The 21,241-nt window shown below is 36.8% G+C and overlaps 1 protein-coding gene across 11 annotated transcripts in view; it reads left to right on the top strand.

Moving 5' to 3' along the window:
- The window catches only part of COX7B2 (cytochrome c oxidase subunit 7B2), a 174,419-nt gene extending 155,808 nt beyond the window's left edge, over positions 1-18,611 (top strand). For all 11 annotated transcript variants that reach the window (NM_130902.3, XM_047449721.1, XM_011513633.3 and 8 more), the window contains one exon: positions 18,197-18,611. In NM_130902.3, the coding sequence (NP_570972.2) occupies positions 18,246-18,491 (246 nt within the window). In that variant the 5' untranslated portion in view covers positions 18,197-18,245 and the 3' untranslated portion in view covers positions 18,492-18,611. The remainder of the gene's footprint in view (positions 1-18,196) is intronic.
- The last annotated feature ends 2,630 nt before the right edge of the window (positions 18,612-21,241 follow it).

Below are 21,241 nucleotides of genomic sequence, written 5' to 3'. Positions count from 1 at the left end.
TTGTCAAAGATCAGATGGTTGTAGATGTGTGGTATTATTTCTGAGGGCTCTGTTCTGTTCCATTGGGTGCTGGTTTTTTGAAAAGATCAACAAAATTGATAGACCACTAGCAAGACTAATAAAGAAGAAAAGAAAGAAAAATCAAATAGATGCAATAAAAAATGATAAAGGGGATATCACCACCGATCCCACAGAAATACAAACTACCATCAGAGAATACTATAAACACCTCTACACAAATAAACTAGAAAATCTAGAAGAAATGGATAAATTCCTCGACACATACATCCTCCCCAGACTAAACCAGGAAGAAGTTGAATCTCTGAATAGACCGATAACAGGCTCTGAAATTGAGGCAATAATTAATAGCTTACCAACCAAAAAAAGTCCAGGACCAGATGGATTCACAGCTGAATTCTACCAGAGGTACAAGGAGGAGCTGGTACCATTCCTTCTGAAACTATCCCAATCAATAGAAAAAGAGGGACTCCTCCCTGACTCATTTTATGAGGGCAGCATCATCCTGATACCAAAGCCTGGCAGAGACAACACAAAAAGAGAATTTTAGACCAATATCGCTGATGAACATCGATGCAAAAATCCTCAATAAAATACTGACAAACCAAATCCAGCAGCACATCAAAAAGCTTATTGACCACGATCAAGTGGGCTTCATCCATGGGATGCAAGGCTGGTTCAACATATGCAAATCAATAATTGTAATCCAGCATATAAACAGAACCAACGACAAAAACCACATGATTATCTCAATAGATGGAGAAAAGGCTTTTGACAAAATTCAACAGCCCTTTATGCTAAAAACTCTCAATAAATTAGGTATTGATAGGATGTATCTCAAAATAATAAGAGCTATTTATGATAAACCCAAAGCCAATTACATACTGAATTGGCAAAAACTGGAAGCACTCTGCTTGAAAATTGGCACAAGACAGGGATGCCCTCTCTCACCACTCGTATTCAACATAGTGTTGGAAGTTCTGGCCAGGGTAATCAGGCAGGAGAAAGAAATAAAGAGTATTCAATTAGGAAAAGAGGAAGTCAAATTGTCCCTGTTTGCAGATGACATGATTGTATATCTAGAAAACCCCATCCTCTCAGCCCAAAATCTCCTTAAGCTGATAAGCAACTTCAGCAAAGTCTCAGGATACAAAATCAATGTGCAAAAATCACAAGCATTCTTATACACCAATAACAGACAAACAAAGTGTGAAATCATGAGTGAACTCCCATTCACAATTGCTTCAAAGAGAATAAAATACCTAGGAATCCAACTTACAAGGGATATGAAGGACCTCTTCAAGGAGAACTACAAACCACTGCACAAGGAAATAAAAGAGGACACAAAAAAATGGAAGAATATTCCATGCTCATGGATAGGAAGAATCAATATCATGAAAATAGCCATACTGCCCAAGGTAACTTATAGATTCAATGCCATCCCCATCAAGCTACGAATTACTTTTTTCACAGAGTTGGAAAAAACTACTTTAAAGTTCATATGGAAGCAAAAAAGAGCCCGTATTGCCAAGTCAATCCTAAGCCAAAAGAACAAAGCTGGAGGCATCACGCTACCTGGCTTCAAACTATACTACTACAAGGCTACAGTAACAACAACAGCATGGTATTGGCTCCTGATTTCTTTTTCTTTCTGCTAGAGAAAATTTCTAATCTTTGCCTGGTCTCACCGTAATTGTCTTTTCCTCAATGAAGTATTTTCTGCCCACCTAATATAAAATCACTTTCCTAGTATTCTCATTTTTATATCACTGTATATTTTATACAGTTTATCTCATACTACAAGTATATAGGCTTGTGGTTGCTAAATAGCTTGCTCTCACACTAAACTGATTTCCACAAGGGCAAAAAATGCATCTGTTTTATTTATCTCCACTATTTCAATATGTACTTGAGTTGACAGTAGCATAATGTAAAAATATTGTTTCATTTGCTCTAAACTGAACATGATAACTAATATGTACATGTTTTGCTAGAAGTGAAAGGAGAATTAAATGTTAATGTGAGAAGTGGATATAAAAGTAGACATATAAACATTCAACAAATAACATGTATACACTCTACCACCAAGAATCAACAAGTTCATATGTATGCTTTTGCAAAATTTTAAATGATGTATGACATATACCTAGTTTGTCACTTTGAAGTAATTGAAACAGTAGATGAGAGAGTGTAAATATCTCCCCACGAACAATTTGAGCTGATGACAGGAGGATGAGTTGGAATTGACTATGTGAAGTGAGAAGCAACAAAACTAAAAAAAAAATCTTTGGGAAGAAGGAATGTCTATTCCAGAAAACTGAAAGAAGGTCACTGGGATGTAGAAAGTGAATAGGAGATTTGTGTGAAATGTTGCTGATTAAGTTGTCAAGGACCATGAAAGCTTTATAGTTCATTGTTATGGACTGTTTGTGTCCTCCCCAAAATTCATAATTTGAAGCCCTAACCCTCAGTGTGTCTGTATTTGGAGATAGGGTCTGTGAAGAGGTGATAAAGATTAAATGAGGTTATAAGGGTGCATCCCTAATCTGAAAGGGCTGGTGACTTTATAAGGAAAGAGACATCAAAATGAGCTTTCTTTCCACTATTTGAGGACATGACGAGAAGCTGGCCATCTGGAAGTCTGCAAAAGAGCCCTCACTAGAAACAACCCTGCTGGACCTTGATATTGGAATTTCTAGCCTTCAGGACTTTGAGAAAATGTATTTTTGTTGTTTAAGCCATGCAGGCTCTAGTATTTTGTTTGGGCAGCCTAGGCAGACTGAAGAAGTGGTATCAAAGAAGTTAGCCTTTACCTTAAAAGAAGTTAGAAACCATTGAGTGGTATTCTGTCCTGACTTAAAACAATTGACCTTTCCACCATTTTCAAGTTATTTTGGTAAATATCTGGACTCTTTAATAGTTATATTTAGGAACATAAAGAGTCTTGATACTAGATGTCATTATAATCATATATACATGTCCTTATAATAAAAGAAATTCTCATTTATTTGTTTTTGTTTTTGTTTTGAGACAAAGTCTCTTTTGCCCAGGCTGATGGAGTGCAGTGGCATGATCATAGCTCGCTGTAGCCTCCAATTTCTGGGCTCAAGCAATCCTTCCACCTCAGCCTCCTGAGTAGCTAGGACTACAGGCATGTGCCACCACACCTGGATAATGTGTGTGTGTGTGTGTGTGTGTGTGTGTGTGTGTGTGTGTGTGTGTGTAGAGATGGGATCTCATTGTGTTGTCCAGGCTGGTCTTTAACTCCTGGCCTCAAGCGATCCTTCCACTTTGGCCTTCTGAAATGCTGGATTATAGGTGTAAGCCACTGCACCTGGCCAATAAAAGAAATTCTTAAACTTATTCTGTGGAATTGGATAGAACATAAGAATAGGAATGTACACCCAGTGAAGTCCTTACTCTGTGTCCTTTGGCATACTCCTTACATTAAAATAAAGCCAATGGTATTCCTTTAATGGTAGGAGCATCCGGTTTGGTAGTTGAATCAGATAATAGAATTCTCTGTGCAGAGGAGAAACTTGTGACCAATAGAACTCTAGATCTGAATTATTATTCCCAGTGTGTTAGAGTGCTATACTTGGCAGATTCTCATACTTTGTCCCTATGAAAGCATTAGGCCTGACACAACCTTTCTAATCAACCACATATCTTGAATATCATTCATCTCATCAGTGAAAAAGTATTTCTAACATCCATTAGATGAATTAACACACCCTCTGGTTTATACTTCTATAATTATGTGACAGGTACATCTTGTAGCCATTCCTAGAGTATGGATTTCTGATTAGTGTACTTCAGATGCAAACTAACAATCCTTACACTGTAAATTGAAGTTAATTTATGTACATGTACATAACACTATTTATACTACAATATTTTTAATGTAAATTATCACATAGTGAGTATAACAAAGAGTTTTCATTGTGGATGTGATATAGTCATGTTTCTTCTCTTAGGCTACCTTGTTAGCAGTTGGGAAAATAGATGGAGGATGGGGAATGGCAGAGGTATTGTGGAAAGACCATTTAAAGAAAGCATATGAAATGAAGTTAAGTTAGGATGGAGACATTTTGGATAGAGAAAAGTTAGCAGATTTGAGATATTTTAAAATATTTTAAAATTTAATTTAAATGTCAAAATTAAAGAATTAAATATTATATATTGCGAGGGAGCTGAAGGCATCAAGAATTATTTCTACATTTAACTTGCTCAGCTAAATGATGGAGATGCTGTTCACTGGGATGAGCATCAGTCCCAGGCAGTGTAACACACTTACTTGAAACTTTAGATATAGAAACAAAATCATAAAGGATGAAACATTGATAAGGATCAAACTTGGGAGTAGAAGAGCATGATTGTACACTTATTCTATTGATTTTGCAGACACTTTGAGCTATTTTAGGAGAAATGTTGGGAAGGAAGTTTGATGTACTGTATTTCTCTGGAAGTAACAAGAGAGTTCATATATGCAGATATAACGTGGGAGTCATCTAATTGCCCATGACAATTAAGTTTATTAGTGTGGTTGAACTACCTAGTGAGAGAGAGAACATAAAAAGCAAAAATAGATGAGAACCTATGAGTGAACCCTGAAGAACTCCTACTTCTAAGAATTTGTTAGAAGATGAGTTTGTAAAGAAGAAATAGCCATATAGACATGAAGAGTAATAAGGGAATATCATGGAAGCTAATAGAAGAAGAGTTTCCAGGAAAGAAATAATTGGTATTATTGCAGTGAAAAGTCAAGAAAAGTGATCTAAAATGTTCATTTTGCGGGATAGAGAGTCCATTGACCTTTGGACTACCTATTGATATAGAATTAGGGAATGAAAACTGCATGGAGTGAAAGAAGAGTGACTGGAAGTTCAGGAAATGGCCAAGGTTTTTTGAATAGTTGTCTGAACCTGGATTCCTTTTCCTGTGGGCAGCCCCCTCTGCTCTTGCCCACCACAATTATATAATATTCTCATGCTGTGTACAGTTCACACAGTATAAATTGCTGTTTTAGCCTAAAGTATTTTTTTGTTTTGAGACTATTTTCTTCAGTTAAATAAAATAATGTTTTATGTAGGGTACTTTCATGGTGGGTATATGCTTTATCAATATTTTTGGTCATTGCCAGTATTTGAGCAGTAATAATTTGTAGGCTTTTAAGATAATTTGTGACAATTGTTGTAAGACATACTTAAGGGAATACCTTCATAAATCTACCTTAAGTCTGGTCCTGGATGAAGCATGTGCTTATGAAGCATGGCTACTATTGAATTGGCCAGTATTGGTTCCAAGATTTTTAAATTTATTCTTTCTGGTTCTTTAATGTAAATCAGAAAGTTATAGGTGTTGATGCAACATCATGAACTTTGAAGTAAATATAAATGGCTCCACTTTAGATACTGTTAATTCTAAGCACAATTAGATTTTAACTATCTTGGTTCTGGTTATTTTGTATATATTCAGTATTATAAATTACGTTTGTTCTTAAAGATGTCTGTGAGGCATATCGGCTATTATTTCATAGTAACGTTAAAGACAAATTTTATGGTGATTACAACATGATGTTCAATCAAGATTAAAATGTGTTACATCATTGGCAAAAAGCCAGAAGGAGCTTTATTCCAATGTGATGCTTAAGTATAATATCAATATTATATATGCTGTCATTAGGAATTTGACATTAAAGGAGATTCTCTTGATTATATATGGTTGCACTTGAAGGTCACCTTTAAAGGAGAAGTGTTTGAAAACTATATTTTATCCTTGATAGGTGAAGAAAAGTCCACTTATAAGTGGGAGCTAAGGCCAGCCACAGTGGCTCATGCTTGTAATCCCAGCACTTTGGGACACTGAGGCGGGTGGATCACGAGGTCAAGAGTTCAAGACCAGCCTGACCAAAATGGTGAAACCCCGTCTCTATTAAAAATACAAAAATTAGCCAGGCGTGGTGGCACACACCTGTAATCCCAGCTACTCAGGAGGCTGAGACAGGAGAATCGCTTGAACGTGAGAGGCAGAGGTTGCAGTGAGCCGAGATTGCACCATTGCCCTCCAGCCTGGGCGACAGAGCGAGACTCTGACTCAGAAAATAATAAAATAAAATAAAATAAAATAAAATAAAATAGGAGCTTAATGATGAGAATATATGGACACATAGAGGGGAATAACACACACTAGGGTCTTTTGGAGGGTGGAGGGCGGGAGAAAGGAGAGGATTAGGAAAAATAACTAATGGATACTAGGCTTGATACCTGGGTGATGAAATAATCTGTACAACAAACCCCCATGACACGAGTTTACTTGTATAACAAATGTTATATAGGTAAACTTACTCCAGAAGGCTTTTCCTGGTCTGTTTGTTTGGGAAAGATGTCTCATATTTTTGGTGACATAGCAGCCTGATCATATTTTTTATTACTTTTTGCACATTGAAACCTTATCATTATCTGCCTCTTCTGCTGAGCATTCCTGAAAAGATAAATCATTCTTATCCATTATTTTTATGGTAATTCCTGTGTTTAGTAGGCTGTAGTCACATAATAGGAGCTCAGTTTAATCAAGTTTAAGTAAACAAAATAAGTTTAAGTAACAAAGTAGTGCTATTTAGGGTTTTCTAAGGGATCTTGTCATGCACTAAAAACCTTGGAAAGGGCAACTTTTATTTGTGGAAACAAGTTGCTTAAAAAGACTGCATGTTCCCATCCTCACACATTGTAGATTTGCCCCAGCCTTAGACTCCTCTGGGGCAGTGTATCACACTTATATGAAACTTTAGATATAGAAACAAAATCATAGAGGAGGAAGAAACTTTAGAAAATCTAGTCCACTGGTCTCTCTCAATGAATAAACCTCTGTTTCCACTGTACTTTCAATGTATACTGGACATCTTTTGTTTCCGCCCCATTCAATATCCATTCTGCCTACCTCTGGTGACAGCGTACTCCATGCTCCACTTTTGGTCAATGCCCTGATTCTAGAGGAGGGCAAAAGATTTAGGTCCCTTACCTGTTCTACACTTAGATCTTTGTGCCACTTTTATAATTTCTTTTCATTAGAAAACACATATATGAGTTTGGCTCTCTGCCTCTTCCTCAAATAGAGTATAAAGCCAGGAAAGGAGTATTGGGTTCTGTGTATTTACTATTTGCCATTCACACTCTAATTTCTACCCACATTGTTCTTCAACATGCATCAAGTCATGAATGGCCAGTGACCAAAAGATTATTAAAATATTAAAGGGCAATATAAAGTGATCTCTAGGTCTTTCAGATCTGATGGTTTTTTATTTGATGAATATGATAAAATATATTATCTGTATAAGAAAACCTACCATTCCATTATCAACAGTGGCTCTAAACTATATAAACTGTATCTAGTGTTTGAAAATTCTGGCCTATTTGCATAGAAATTTTACTTTTCTAATTAACAAATATTCAGATGATTATGTTAATTTAGTTTAGGGGTGCCCTTTTAGACTTAAGAAATTTTAGACTCCGTTAGATTAATGAAATAGAGGTTGAAACCTTGTAACCTCTCTGAAACAAGAATGTAATTGGAAATTGTAGGATTTCAAAACAAAAATCTGTATTCTGATTTTTTGTTGCATGTTTTTAGATGGGTAACCTCTTTCAGGCTTGCTTTCTTCCTTAAGATCCTTCCCTCAGGAACTTAAAAGAAAAACTAAAATGAAATATCAGTTCACTAAAATAAGCACCCTGCCCCAAAGTTTAGCAAAGTGCATCCTGTCTCACTGTTTCTGCTGAGGCATCTACAAGAAGGAAAAAAAAATCAGTGTACCAAAGTTTGCCCCTCTGGCCAGTTTTTCTCACTTACAAATAATGAATCCAAGGGGGAAAAAAGGATAGGTAAAATATCTTGTTAAAAGTTATTTTTACCAATATCTTGTTAAAAGTTTTTTTAAAGTCTCCAAAATGTTATGAAAGTGAAAAAAAGAAAATTATACTGAAAGCACTGGCCTAGTAAAACAGCTTTCAATGATTAGAGTTACTACTTCAATGCTGTTATGTGTTCTTCTCATCAGATGAAATTTCTCTGCGAATGCACCATAAGTTATCTAGGTGATAGCAATAACAAGAGCCTTATTCATAAAAAGATTAATTAACAGGTATATTTTGAGCAGAATTTAGGAGCACAGAGATAGTCCAAGTTGGAAATAAATAATCTGGAGTTTGCAGAAGCAAGGTGGAAAAGATTACTTTGCAGTGCTAAATATTCCAATCTAAATGGGTAGTTTTATCAAAATTAACTTCTGGACTGGACCCTTACTGGCTTGAGTTCTGGTTGGCAACTGCAAACAATTTTAATGCAAAATGGAAACAATTGGTAAATGTGTCTTTAAAAATTAAAATATCTGGCTGGGCACAGTGGCTCACACCTGTAATCCTAGCACTTTGGGAGGCTGAGGCAGGCAGATTGCCTGAGCTCAGGAATTCAAAACCAGCCTGGACAACACAGTGAAACCCCGTCTCTACTAAAAACACAACAAAATTAGCCGGGCGTGCCAGCGTGCGCCTGTAGTCCAGCTGAGGCGGGAGAATTGCTTGAACCTGGGAGGTGGAGGGTGCAGTGAGCCGAGATTACGCCACTGCACTACAGCCTAGGTGACAGAGAGAGACTCCGTCTCCCAAAAAAAAAAAAAAAAAAAATTAAAATATCTTTGATATCTAAAAGTTAAACAGGCCAATGTTTCCTGTATACTTTTACCTAAATATATCAGTGATAGATTGAAGGCAGAAATGACTTTGACAAGCCCATTTCAAAGTTTTAATGAAAGTTTCAAATTATGCAATGAGGGGTCATTGATTCACCTTTAATGGCCACGTAGAATCATGAAATATTTTTATTCAGAGTCTATATAATTAATAAAGATGGATGTGTTACCGTAACACCGCGGGTTTGGTCTAGGTTCTGCTGCTCACCACAGAGAAAGCCAATGACTGAGACAACGATTATAGCAGAGGTTGGCTGCTATAGCCAAGGAGATGGGAGGGAGATCAATCTCAAATTCGTCTCTCCGACCGACTGAAATTAAGGGTTTATAGCAGGGAAGAAATGTAGCAATGCATAGGAAAATAGGAGCTCAGGAGGCCTAAGGAGGTAATCATGATGAATGAGGGGACTGGTGTCCCATTGTCTGGATGCGGGGATCTGGTACTTTGATGCTTTTTGAGACGCCTGGGGATCCTTCTCGGAGGAAGGAACTCAGATGAAACAAATGTAACTTTCAAGCTTTAAAACAAGAAGGGTCAATTTTCTATGTTTATACAAAAAAAAAACTATGGGACCATTGGGTCAATTTCAGATGTTGAAACCAGAGAAACATCTGCACAAATATTAAAACTGCCAAAGTTAGAATCATATAATGAAGGCTAGAGTTCATTGCTCTTATGAGTGTTGTTAAGACAAACTGGGATTACCACACACCCTGTACTCCTTGAATCTTATGTTAAAAGTTCCCACAAGGAAATGATTTAGTTTTTGAGATGCCTCCTGGATCCATTAAGCCTTTGGAAATGAGTACAGTGATGTAACAATATTGAGAACACAGAGGCATCCTTTGGTTTTCCCCTAATTGTGTTCTGCAAAACACTAATCTGGAGATAATGCTTCAGGGGGAAAAAAAGCATGGCATGTTTAGCTACATTTGGAATACACCACATGCCATCCCTCTCAAAGAATCACTGTTTAGCACAATAGAGGTTGGAAAAATACTTCAATAAAGAAAATTTGACTTTGTTAGCTGCATACTTCTCAAAACTTAGATAACATCGAAACCCCGTTTTCAAGTAACTTCTATTAATATAACATCAAAGAGAACTAGTGAAATAGGCATATTTTGGGAAATACTGACATAAGATCCCTTTTCAATTGGAATCACTGTCAAACTATTAAAGCTAAGAGACTATGTATTTCAGCCACTGGGATGGAATATACTTTTTTTAAGTTAATGAAATACATTCCTACATTCCAGTTTATACATCAGTTTCTGAGAGTTCCATTAGCATGAGACAGATTCTCAGAGGTTTGTCCTTTTTAGATACCTGTGCAAAGTAATTGTGATCTTGCCCTGCAAAGCTGAAGATTTGAATGCAGAAATGTGATTACACTAAGGGACTAGCACATTTTGGGACCTTAGCTGGTGAACTGTACATATTTGAAAGGTACTGTAATGTCAAAATAACATAGACATCCACTTTGAGGAAATGTGTTGGGCCTACTTGAAGTTTAATAATGAACAAAATAAGAATTGTTGCACAGTTGGGACACTGACTCACAGTGTGACACACAGAAAAGCCTTCAACCTGTATGCCACTGTTTTGTTATCTCTTACTCATAGCTATCAGAAAGGAAAAAGAGTGAGTATAGTTGGAAGGACCTTATGATTAAAGAAAATATTATGGGTACTTAATGAGTGAACCACCTTAATGTGATCTGCTCCATAAAAGAAACTGCCTAAATGAACACTGTGATTATTCTCAGACTGGGCATTACTGAATACTTTCAACACTCCATATGGGATAGAAATGATCTGTTCATTTAGACTGTGACTGGGAAGAATCTGAGCGAGAGTGCCTACCTCAATATCCCTTTACTCTTCAGGCAACATATGGCATTTGAGGACACCAGCTCACAGGTTCTTTGTCCACTCTCTTATTTTTCCTCCAGGCATAACAATTCACTGCTATAATCTGCCTTTCTGTTTGTTTAGGTAGCATCCATTTCTGTAACTTTTTAGGCTTAATGAAGTGACATAAAACACAGCCTTAAGCAAATGGTTGTACTATCCATCAATTCAGTGACTTAGGAGATGATGCCATTACATATAAAATAGAACCATTGTTCAGCATTTTTACCAGCGGCATTGCTTCTTTCAGAGTTCCCATATTTCCTGTTATGAAATGGCTGAAAACTTGAATATATTGTGAAAGGGGACACTTTGCACCGTGTACACTTAATCCCTACTTGAGCATCATCATCTGCTGACAAATACATAAATGAATTGAAGACACTGCAGGTTATGTGCATTTCCATTTCAAGAAGATTGCTTTTTTTTATTGTTTCTTATTTTGCATTGATATCATGAAGCTGTAAAAAGAAGAGTGGAAATAAAAGCAAGTGGAAATCAAGGTATTTCAGTTGAGTAATGTCCAGGAGTCCTAGCTCCAAAAGTGTATCATTCATTTATACAGCAGAACACCTGTATTACTAATGCTTTTAATGTTTTTAAATGCTACCAAATGTTTCTTTTGACTAACTTATTCCCAGGGGGTCCCTATAACTCTTTCAGGTCACTCAGGTACTGCTTTCTAAATTACCATGGTAGTAGATTCAATTACTATTGTACTCTTTCAGTGGCCTAAAAGAATAAATGGTCTTCCTAAAATGCTTCTTTTTATTTTTCCGCCAAGGAAAAGCCCAGAGTGTTAGAGCTGGATAGTACCTTGGAGATTATCTGACTCAATGTTCCATAAATATTTCTGATGATAAAACTCTCCTGAGAATTTGTTTTAAAAAATACAGATTCTCAGGCTACTCCCCTTGGAGACTCTGTTACAGTACATTTGAAATTGAGCCCAGGAATCTACATTTTGTCATAAAGATTCCAGATGACTTTTAGGATCAGATAGGTTTGGAAAAACTAAATTAGTTCAACTTTTTTATTTTATAGGGGGTAAGCAGCTGTCCAGGTAGATTAAGTGATTCATCTGAGTTGTATCATAAACCATTTAAAATATTGGGATTAGTTCAGGAAAAATGTTGATGGGCAACATTTTTGCATCCCATGGTAGGGACCAGGATAATTTATTTTCTTAGATTTTAAGTTGCCTTCTCTATTGTATAGAATGGTGTCATTCATGGCGGAGAAGTGATAGGGGAGGATACACCTTTCTGTATATACAGCAGTGGTTCTGAACTGGGAATGATTTTGCACCCTAGGTAACATTTAGCAAGGTCTGGAGACATTTATGGTGTCAAAACTGGGGGATACTACTGCTGTTATTTAGTGGGTAGAGGTAGGGATGCTACTAAACATCTTACAATGCACAGGATTACTTTTCCCCTCTCCAACAAAGAATTATTCATACCAAAATATCAGTTGTATCCAGATTGGGAAACCCTGATATACCCCTTAATGCCTTCTTGAGCTTCATCTTCCTCTGAACTATTTAAGAGTAATATCTGGGCAATGTGAGAAATAGGACTCTGTTTTGTTTTCTTCTTGAAATTACATAAAAAGCCTATATCGAAGCTAAGTGGGTCATTTGTTGGTCCATGTTGGGCTATACTTACTTAGACTGGATACAGTTATTATTTTGTTTTTGGATCATACAGCAAATCCTTTTGAAGATGCCTCCCCCTTCTACTCAGGCATCTAAACCTGCCTTTCTGTGGCACACCTTAATTATGTATGCTTTGACCTTTCAGTATTCGGTGCCTAGATCACCCAAACTCTGATTCCCAAGGTCAGCAACAAGCTACAGTGTCAATATCTGCTGATTTTGAACAGAAATCAGCACAGAGGTTTTGGGTGAAATCAACCCAGAGGTTAAGTGAATGGAATACTCAATTTAGTTAGAGTAACTTACTTACTAAATTGATCTGATTTTTATTTTATTTATATTTCTCGATTCTATCTTCTTTCTATTTCTGGTATGAGTACTTAATTTAGATCATTATTTTCTTTTTCATTAAGCATTGCCATCAATAGTTAACTAACATCTTAAATTTTTGGCATTTTTGTCATCTCTCCATCCATTTTACACCTAACAATTACGTTTGTAAAATGTGTTTTCTGATTACACCAATCAATAGTTTCTCCTCACCTACAGGAATGTTTCTCAAACTTGAGTTACGTTTGGAATCTTCTTAAAGTTATTTCATCACTTGTACCATCTTAAATTATTTTATTACAAAATAACTTACATATGGGTAAACTTGAAACTGAATTGATCTTCATTATATTGGGAGCTTAATACAACGATAAAACCAAAACATGTTTTCAAATAAAAAATGAAACAAACTATACAACAAATAAAGATCAAATTTGTCATGTTAACAGTATGACAGTTAACATTGTCCTGAAACTCTAACACTGTTTGTAGTGATCATAGTTCTTTTATTTTCACATGTCTGTGGTTAGTAAGCTTTGGTATGACTCAATTCTTCTAATTCTTTATTTTGTCCCTTGCAAACGAACACTTTAACATAAAAGCTGCATCCATTCTTTTTGCATTAACCCAGGGCAAATAATTGCTATATACCTTTGCAGCTAAAATGCAGAACAAAGATAAACAGAGACACTAGAAATTGATAAGCTGCATCATCCAGGTCTCATATTATTTTTATATTATCATGAAAATAAAAAATTAAAAATGAATTTTGATTTAATTTATTAATAAATTAAAAATTCTCATTGTTAACTCAACAGCAAAGTTTGTGAGTATTAAAACAGCAAAGGTTTTAAATAATGGGAAACACTGACCTGTAGAATTGAGTCAAATGCCATAGCAAAGCATTTAAAGTCCCCAGTGTGCCATTCTTTTCTCATGTCTCCAGGCTCATCTGTTGGGCATTTGTTGCTTCAATGCTTATTACGTAGTGTTACCGAGCTCACCAGATTGCCTTGTCTCTGTATTAATTCCAGCCTGTGTGCTTACGTTTTGCTTCTCCATCTCTGTATTCCTCCCCACCAACAATTTTTGTTTCTGTCTATTTCAAAATAATATTTCAAGATCTAGCTTAGGTATCATCTCTTCTAAAACCATTCCTAGGATCTCAGGATAAAACGCCCCCTCCTCTGTGAACTAAATACACCCTGTGCTAGTTTCTAGCCTACTTCCTTATGTAGAGCAATAATTATTTATTTCTCCACTATACCATAAGCTTCTTTAGAGTAGACATTGTGCTGATGACATCTATCCCAGGCTGTAACGTACAGTAGTTAATAGGTAAATAAATAGCAAAGTACTGTGAACCATTTCCAATTAAAGAGCCATCTCTGGTAACCAGCTTGGTTTTGTTTTGTTTTGTTTTGTTTTGGTTTGGTTTGGTTTGTTTGATCATTTTCCAATACTCAGAGTTGAATACACTTTAAGAAAACATGGTATGGTTGAAGAATTAGTTGGATTTAGAATCAGAGGACTTACATTCACATCCTTTCCTGTCATTTGTTCTTAGGTGTAAAACAAGGTTAAACAGTCATCCTTCCACACCATTTTTTCAGATGTGCAAAATCTTGGCACAATGTCTTAACACACAGGTATATACTCAATAAATGTTAGTTTCCTTACTACACTGTTGTTTTACTTCTTTTGATAGCCTTCAGCGATTTGAAATTATTATCGTTACCAGTGAAGCTTCAGATTTATATACTTCCTTATTGTAGTTAGACTGAGATCAAGTATTAGTTATTTTTTGCAGAAAGAACTTTAAGATGACTACATATAATAGATGACACAATCAGTCTTTCAACTTCAATGAATACTTCACTCCCTTTAACCATTTATATTTATTCAGAACATATTTCTTTTACTGCCATGGGCATGAGGGAACTTTTACTTTGTTTTTACTACCTAGAGAAATCTGTCTTCCTCTATCTTTTTGTAGTCTATTTTTGTCAGAAAGATCTACTTTCAGAAACATTTCCTTTACCTACTATATTATTGAATTTCTTTTTTATGCTTTCATATGGATATTAGAACCTGTAGCTTTAGTTCTTTAGATAATAGGAGTAGGACTTACTGATAACACAAAATTTATTGTAGAGGTATGTAATATGGGTTTAAACAATATGGAAAATTCCTTGAATTTTCTTAGCTTTTACATGTATTTTATAAAGATAAAGATAAGATAGATCTGAAGGCAGTTGAGACGGATGTAGCTGATGCCGACAAGGAAAAGAAAAAGAGCAAAGAGACTGCAGTTTGTTTATTATAGGATGAAATGCCAACTGCAAACTATGGAAGGATTTCCTAAAGGAGAATTCTTAGTAATAGACTTACTGGTTCAAGAAAATTCAGGCTAGATGGAAAAGAAAAGCTTTATAGATATGGGAATAGCCAAAGGATGAACTAAGCTTCTAAGAAATGTGATCAATGTCACTAGAGACAAAGGATCTGAATTTAAATGTAACATCATGAGTATAAGAAAAATGAAATCAATTTGTCATAAAGCAGCAAGCATGAGCCGACCCACTAGAAATCCCTGTTATCACAAATCATTCTTTGGTTATGTGTCTTCCTAAAGAATGAAAGCAATGTGTGGCACAGGTCCTTTTGTACTGGATTAAGGCTGCACCTGTCATACCCTGACCGATGTCACCTTCTGCCTACTCTCTGAATTCAATTCAAATGAAAACCTTGGTGTCTTTGGGTGGGAAGATTCATGACTAACAGGAAACATTTTTTAATATCTTGAACCTCGGAAGAAATTAATTTGGCTCTGGTTGCCCTGTTTGTCACAATCATGATGAGTACCACTTACCATATGGTAGGAAATAAAAGAGAACCTTGGGGTCTTGTTTTCAAAGTTGGAATAAAGTCTTCTGAGCTGGAAAATCTCAGTGAATAGTTATGTTTACAAGTATTGACCTCAGGGCCTTTTATATCTGTGTTGCCTATGTTTGGGCCACAGTTAAGATATGTCATTGCTGAAGACAGAGTGTTGTTTGACAACTTGCACACAGGAAGATAAATTTAAAGAATTATTTTATGTTTCTACTTCCAGATTTCTTGTAACTATCTAAGAAATAAAATAATTTTGGCTATTATGAAATGCACATCTAATTTCATTGTATTTTGGCTTGTTCTTAGCATTCATTTTAGCTTCTTATGAGGATACCAATATTCACTTATATTTCAGATTGGTTTTAAAAAGATCTTTTTATGCTTTTGTGTCAGCTACTTTATATGCAGTTACCTCCCTTGCTCTTGGAGAACTTGCAGTTTATCAGAAGAGAATAAAAAGATAATTCCTTAGGAGAATGACAAGGCAAACCACAGGCTTGAAGAAAGTATTTACAAAATCCATATCGAATTGAGGACTGTTATCCAGAATATACAAAGAACTCTTAAAATTCAACAATAAGAAAATGAACAACCTGAATTTTTAAAATAAGCGAAAGGCCTGAAATAGATACTTCCCAAAGGGGAGATGAAGATGGCAAACAAGCATATAAAAAGATGCTGGACATTATATGTCATCAGGGAACTGCAAATGAAACACCTATTTACCGATTAGAATGGCCCAAATCCAGAACACTAACAACATCAAATGCTGGCCAGGATGTGGAACAAAAGAAACTCTCATTCAGTGCTGGTGGGAACTCAAAATGGTACAGCCACTTTGGAAGGCAGTTAGGCAGTTTCTTATAAAACTAAACAAATTATGTGATTCAGCAATCACGCTCCTTGATTTACCTAAATTAGTTAAAAATATATTCAGACAAAACCCTACCCACAGATGTTTATAGCAACAGCAGTTGTATTCGTACTAATTGAATCTTAGAAGCAATCAAGATGTCCTTCAGTAAAATAATAGATAAATTGTGGTGCATCCAGACAGTGGAATATTAATTAGCACTAAAAAGAAATGCACTCTCGAGCCACAAAAAGATATGAATGAACTTTAAAAGTATATTTTGAAGTGAAAGAAGCCAGTCTGAACAGGTATACTGTATGATTACAACTATATGACATTCTGAAAAAGGCAAAACTGTGGAGACAGTAAAAAGATCAGTGGTTGCCAGGAGTAAGTCAAAACAGAAAGATGAATAGGTGAAACCGAACCATTGCCCTGTAGACTGTTCTTTTTGATAAACATAGAAATTGACCCTTCTAGTGTTAAGAAGCTTGAAACTTTTATTTGTTTTATCTGAGTTCCTTCCTCAGGAAATGACCTTTAGGCCTCTCACAAAAAGTAAAAAAAAAAATGAAACCAGATCACCACACCAGATGCTGGACCCATCATTCACCATGATTGCTTCCTTTCTCTTCCCAAATGCCTGTTTTCTTACACATTTTTACATTTCTTGCCTGCTATATAAAGCCCTGGTTTAAGTCAGGGAGATGGATTTGAAACTGAGCTCCCATCTCCTCTGCTGCAGTACCTGATTAAACCCTTCTTCCTTGGCAATACTTGGTGTCTCAGTGATTGGCTTTCTGTGTGGTGAGCAGCAGGACAGAGACCAAACCTTTGGTGTTTCGGTAACATAAGCAGAGCACAGAGGGCTTTTTAGGGCACTGAAACTATTCTGTATGATACTAAAATGATGGATACATGTCATTATACATTTGTTAAAACCTATAGAATGTACAATATCAGGAGTGAACCTTCATGTAAACTATGGACTTTGGGTAATCATGAAATGTCAATGTAGGTTTATTGATTCCAACAAATGTACAACCCTGGTGGAAGATGTTGATAGCTAGGGAGGCTGTGGGTGTATAGGGTCAGGGTACATGGGAACTCTCAATGTCTTCTGCTCAATTTCGCTGTGAACCAAAACTGCTTCCCCAAAATATTTCTATTTAAAAAGATAATTCCTCAATGTTAAGTGTTATGAAAAAAAGTTTGTAAATTGTGTGATAACCCAGAGACAAAGGGGTGTATTCAACTTAGTGAGATATGGAAAAGACTTCACAGAAGTGGTAACTCTTAGAGCGGAATTTCAAAGGCAAGCAGAATTTTGCCTGTAGGAGGGGGAAGGTAAGTATTACAGTTAAAGAAGGAGAAGGAAAGGGGTTAAGCAGGAGGGAGAAAACGAGGAGGAGGAGAGTGAGGAGGCATGGCGTGTTCTGTGACTTTCTGTCTATTGTAGCCATGTTAATAAGTTTGTAGTCTGTAGAGTCAATGCATTGGATATTTGTGATGAGTAGAAAAGCTAACATTTATTACATGCTTACCTTGTTGTTGTTTTCTTTTGGATTATCACATGTAATAATGTTGAGGCAAAAAGAAGTTAAATAATTGCCCCAAGTTCATATAGCTAATCGGTGGCAAAGCTGGGATTCAAATTCAGATATTGTTATATCAAAACTCACATTCCTGAACACCACTCCAAGGGGTGATGTAGCCAGACATTCAAAGCGGAAGGAATTGAATAAAGATTGGACATCAATGCATATCTTTTCTCTCTTTCCAGCCTCTTTGCAACAAAATAGACCAGTAGCTGAAGGCAACTGCAATCCTTCATGATGTTTCCCTTGGCCAGAAATGCACTAAGCAGTCTCAAGATTCAAAGCATTCTGCAAAGCATGGCAAGACATAGCCATGTAAAACACTCACCAGATTTTCATGATAAATATGGTAATGCTGTGCTAGCCAGTGGAACTGCTTTCTGTGTTGCTACATGGGTGTTTACAGCCACTCAGATTGGAATAGAATGGAACCTATCCCCTGTTGGCAGAGTTACCCCAAAAGAGTGGAAACATCAGTAACCATCACAGTTGCTGTAATGACAGAATTGTTTAAAAAACCAACTTGTCATGTAAGCACTCTACTGCTTATTAAAATATAGCACAATTGAAAAAATAAAATGTGTTTTAAATCTTTAAAAAGTCATTGCAAATGGTCATTATATTGCCTGGGAGCCATACAATAGCAGTGGGTATAGATTACAGGGGATTATGAATAGGAAATATTTGAATGTAGGATTAGTAAAACGTGTATTCCTCTGGTTTAATGACTTACACCAGGTATCTTTCAGTGAATAAATACACATATGTAATTTACAAATTAATTTATTTGGCTGGAAAATCCTGTTGAATCTTCCTTGAAACTCTATAGATGTTTCTTGACTTGGGATTACATCCCAGTAAACCCATTGCAAATTGAAAATGTTGTAAATTGAAAATACAATTAATACCCTACATACGCATTGTAAAGTCAAAAAGTTGAACCATTGTGTGTTCAGATGCTCCTCATTTTATGATGGGGTTACATCTAGATAAACCCCTCAAAGTCAAAAAATCATAGGTTGAGCTATCCTAAGTAGGGGACTATCTGTGTTCAGAAACTGACCATTTTTCACGACCTTCATCATTCCCACCCTGGTCTGAACCATTATATTCATGGAGACTATTATAAAAAACTTTCTAACCAGCCTTCTTGTCTCCACAGTTTCTGTCCTCCAAACCTGCCTCCCACCACCGCACACAATCTTTTTTCAGCTCATCAGCCAGAGTTCATTTTAAAACATAGTCTAGTTCTGTGACTCTTCATTCAAAACCTAATTCTCATTTCATTCCAGAGTTAATGCTAAAGTCCTTAGAAAGGTACACAGGTCCCCTAAATGCTGCACTGGCCAGTTTACCTCCTGCATCAACAGGTTTCTACTGGCTCCTCCCTCTGGGTGGCATGCACTTCTGGGTTCTGTATGACTCCCTCACACCTTTTTGGGTTTTGTTCATGTCATCTTTTCAGAAGAGGGCTTTATCCTTTCTAAAACTGCAGACTTTATTTTGGCCTGGCTTTCTCTCTCTTGCTTCTTTACTTTTTTCTATATCACTTATCATAATCTCACTTAATATATATATTTATTTATTTGAGATGCAGTCTCACTCTGTCGCCCAGGCTGGAGTGCAGTGGCACAATCTCAGCTCACTGCAACCTCTGCCTCCTGGGTTCAGGTGATTCTCCTGCCTCAGGCTCCCGAGTAGCTGGAATTACAGGCACCCACCACCACGCCCAGATAATTTTTGTATTTTTAGTAGAGATGGGTTTTCACCATGTTGGCCAGGCTGGTCTCGAGCTCCTGGCCTCAAGTGATCCACCCGCCTCTGCCTCCCAAAGTGCTGGGATTACAGGCGTGAGCCACCACATGCAGCCCACTCTTAAGATATATTTAACTTATTTATTTGTTTATTGCCTGCATACAAAACTCCATAAAAACATAGGCTTTGCAAATTTTTTTATAAGTTTATCACAGGACTTGGTGGCTTTGAACTAGTTTGAATTAATGCATTAATGAGTGGCTTTAGGTAATTCAGAGTCCCCATCAGTCTGAAATTAAGAATTTGCTTATCATTGTGGGTTGCAATGATTATTGGAAGGCATATTAGTTCTATATTGCTGTTTTGCAAATTATTCCAAAACTCGGTGGCTTAAAACAACACTTATTATCTCATAGTTTCTGCGGGTCAGATCTGAGCATGACTTAGTTGGGTGCTCCTGGCTCAAGATCTGACATTTCTACAACCAAACTGCCAGACAGGGCTGCGATCCTCTCAAGGCACAACTTGGGGAAGAAGCACATCTAAACTCACTCATAAGAATGTTGGCTGGCCTAATGATCTTGCTGAATGTTGACTGGAACATCATTCCTTTCTCATGTGAGTCTCTCCATAGAGCAGCTGATGATATAGTAGCTGGCATCACTTAAGAGTGCGAGAGGGTGCCCCAGACAGGAGCTTTTTGTAACCCAATCTTACACATGACATATCACCTCTACCACATTCTATTCACAAGAAACGAGCCATCAAATCAAGCTGACACACAAGGGGAGGAGATCATACAAGGGCATGATTATCTGATGGCAGGAACCACTTGGCACTATTCTAGGGGATATCTACCACAGTTGGCAGTACAGACCTTCTCCTGCTACTGGATAACCAACTTCAATCAGTCTGTTTCTCAAGCTCTGTTATATATTAGTATCGTTATTCTCTAGATAGAGATGACTAAATGTGCCCAACCCCATTTTTACTATTTGAAAGTTTCTCTATGGTCCCTCCTTGATGTGAAATTGGTAGGTCTTAGGGAGTGCCCATTTACAGTATTTCTAAATCATTCTACAAACTCGTTAAATGGTTTACAGTTTCACCAGCAACGTAAACAACTTCCTCTTGTTCCACCTCCAGACTTACTCTTAGAGTTGTCAAACATTTTAATATTTTTGTTCCTTTGATGAGTGTGAAATAGTAGCTCATGGCTGGGAGCACTGGCTCACACCTGTAATCCCAGCACTTTGGGAGGCTGAGTTGGGCGGATCACGAGGTCAGGAGTTTGAGACTGGCCTGGCCAATATGGTGAAACCCCATCTCTACTAACAATACAAAAAATTAGCTGGGCGTGGTGGTGGGTGACTGTAGTCCCAGCTACTCGGGAGGCTGAGGCAGGAGAATGGCGTGAACCAGGGAGGTGGAGGTTGGAGTGAGTTGAGATCGCGCCACTGCACTCCAGCATGGGC

This window comes from Homo sapiens, chromosome 4 (genome assembly GCF_000001405.40).
Source record: "Homo sapiens chromosome 4, GRCh38.p14 Primary Assembly".
NCBI lineage: Eukaryota > Metazoa > Chordata > Mammalia > Primates > Hominidae > Homo > Homo sapiens.
Note: the sequence above shows the minus strand (reverse complement) of the source record. Positions and strands in the feature narration are given on the sequence as shown.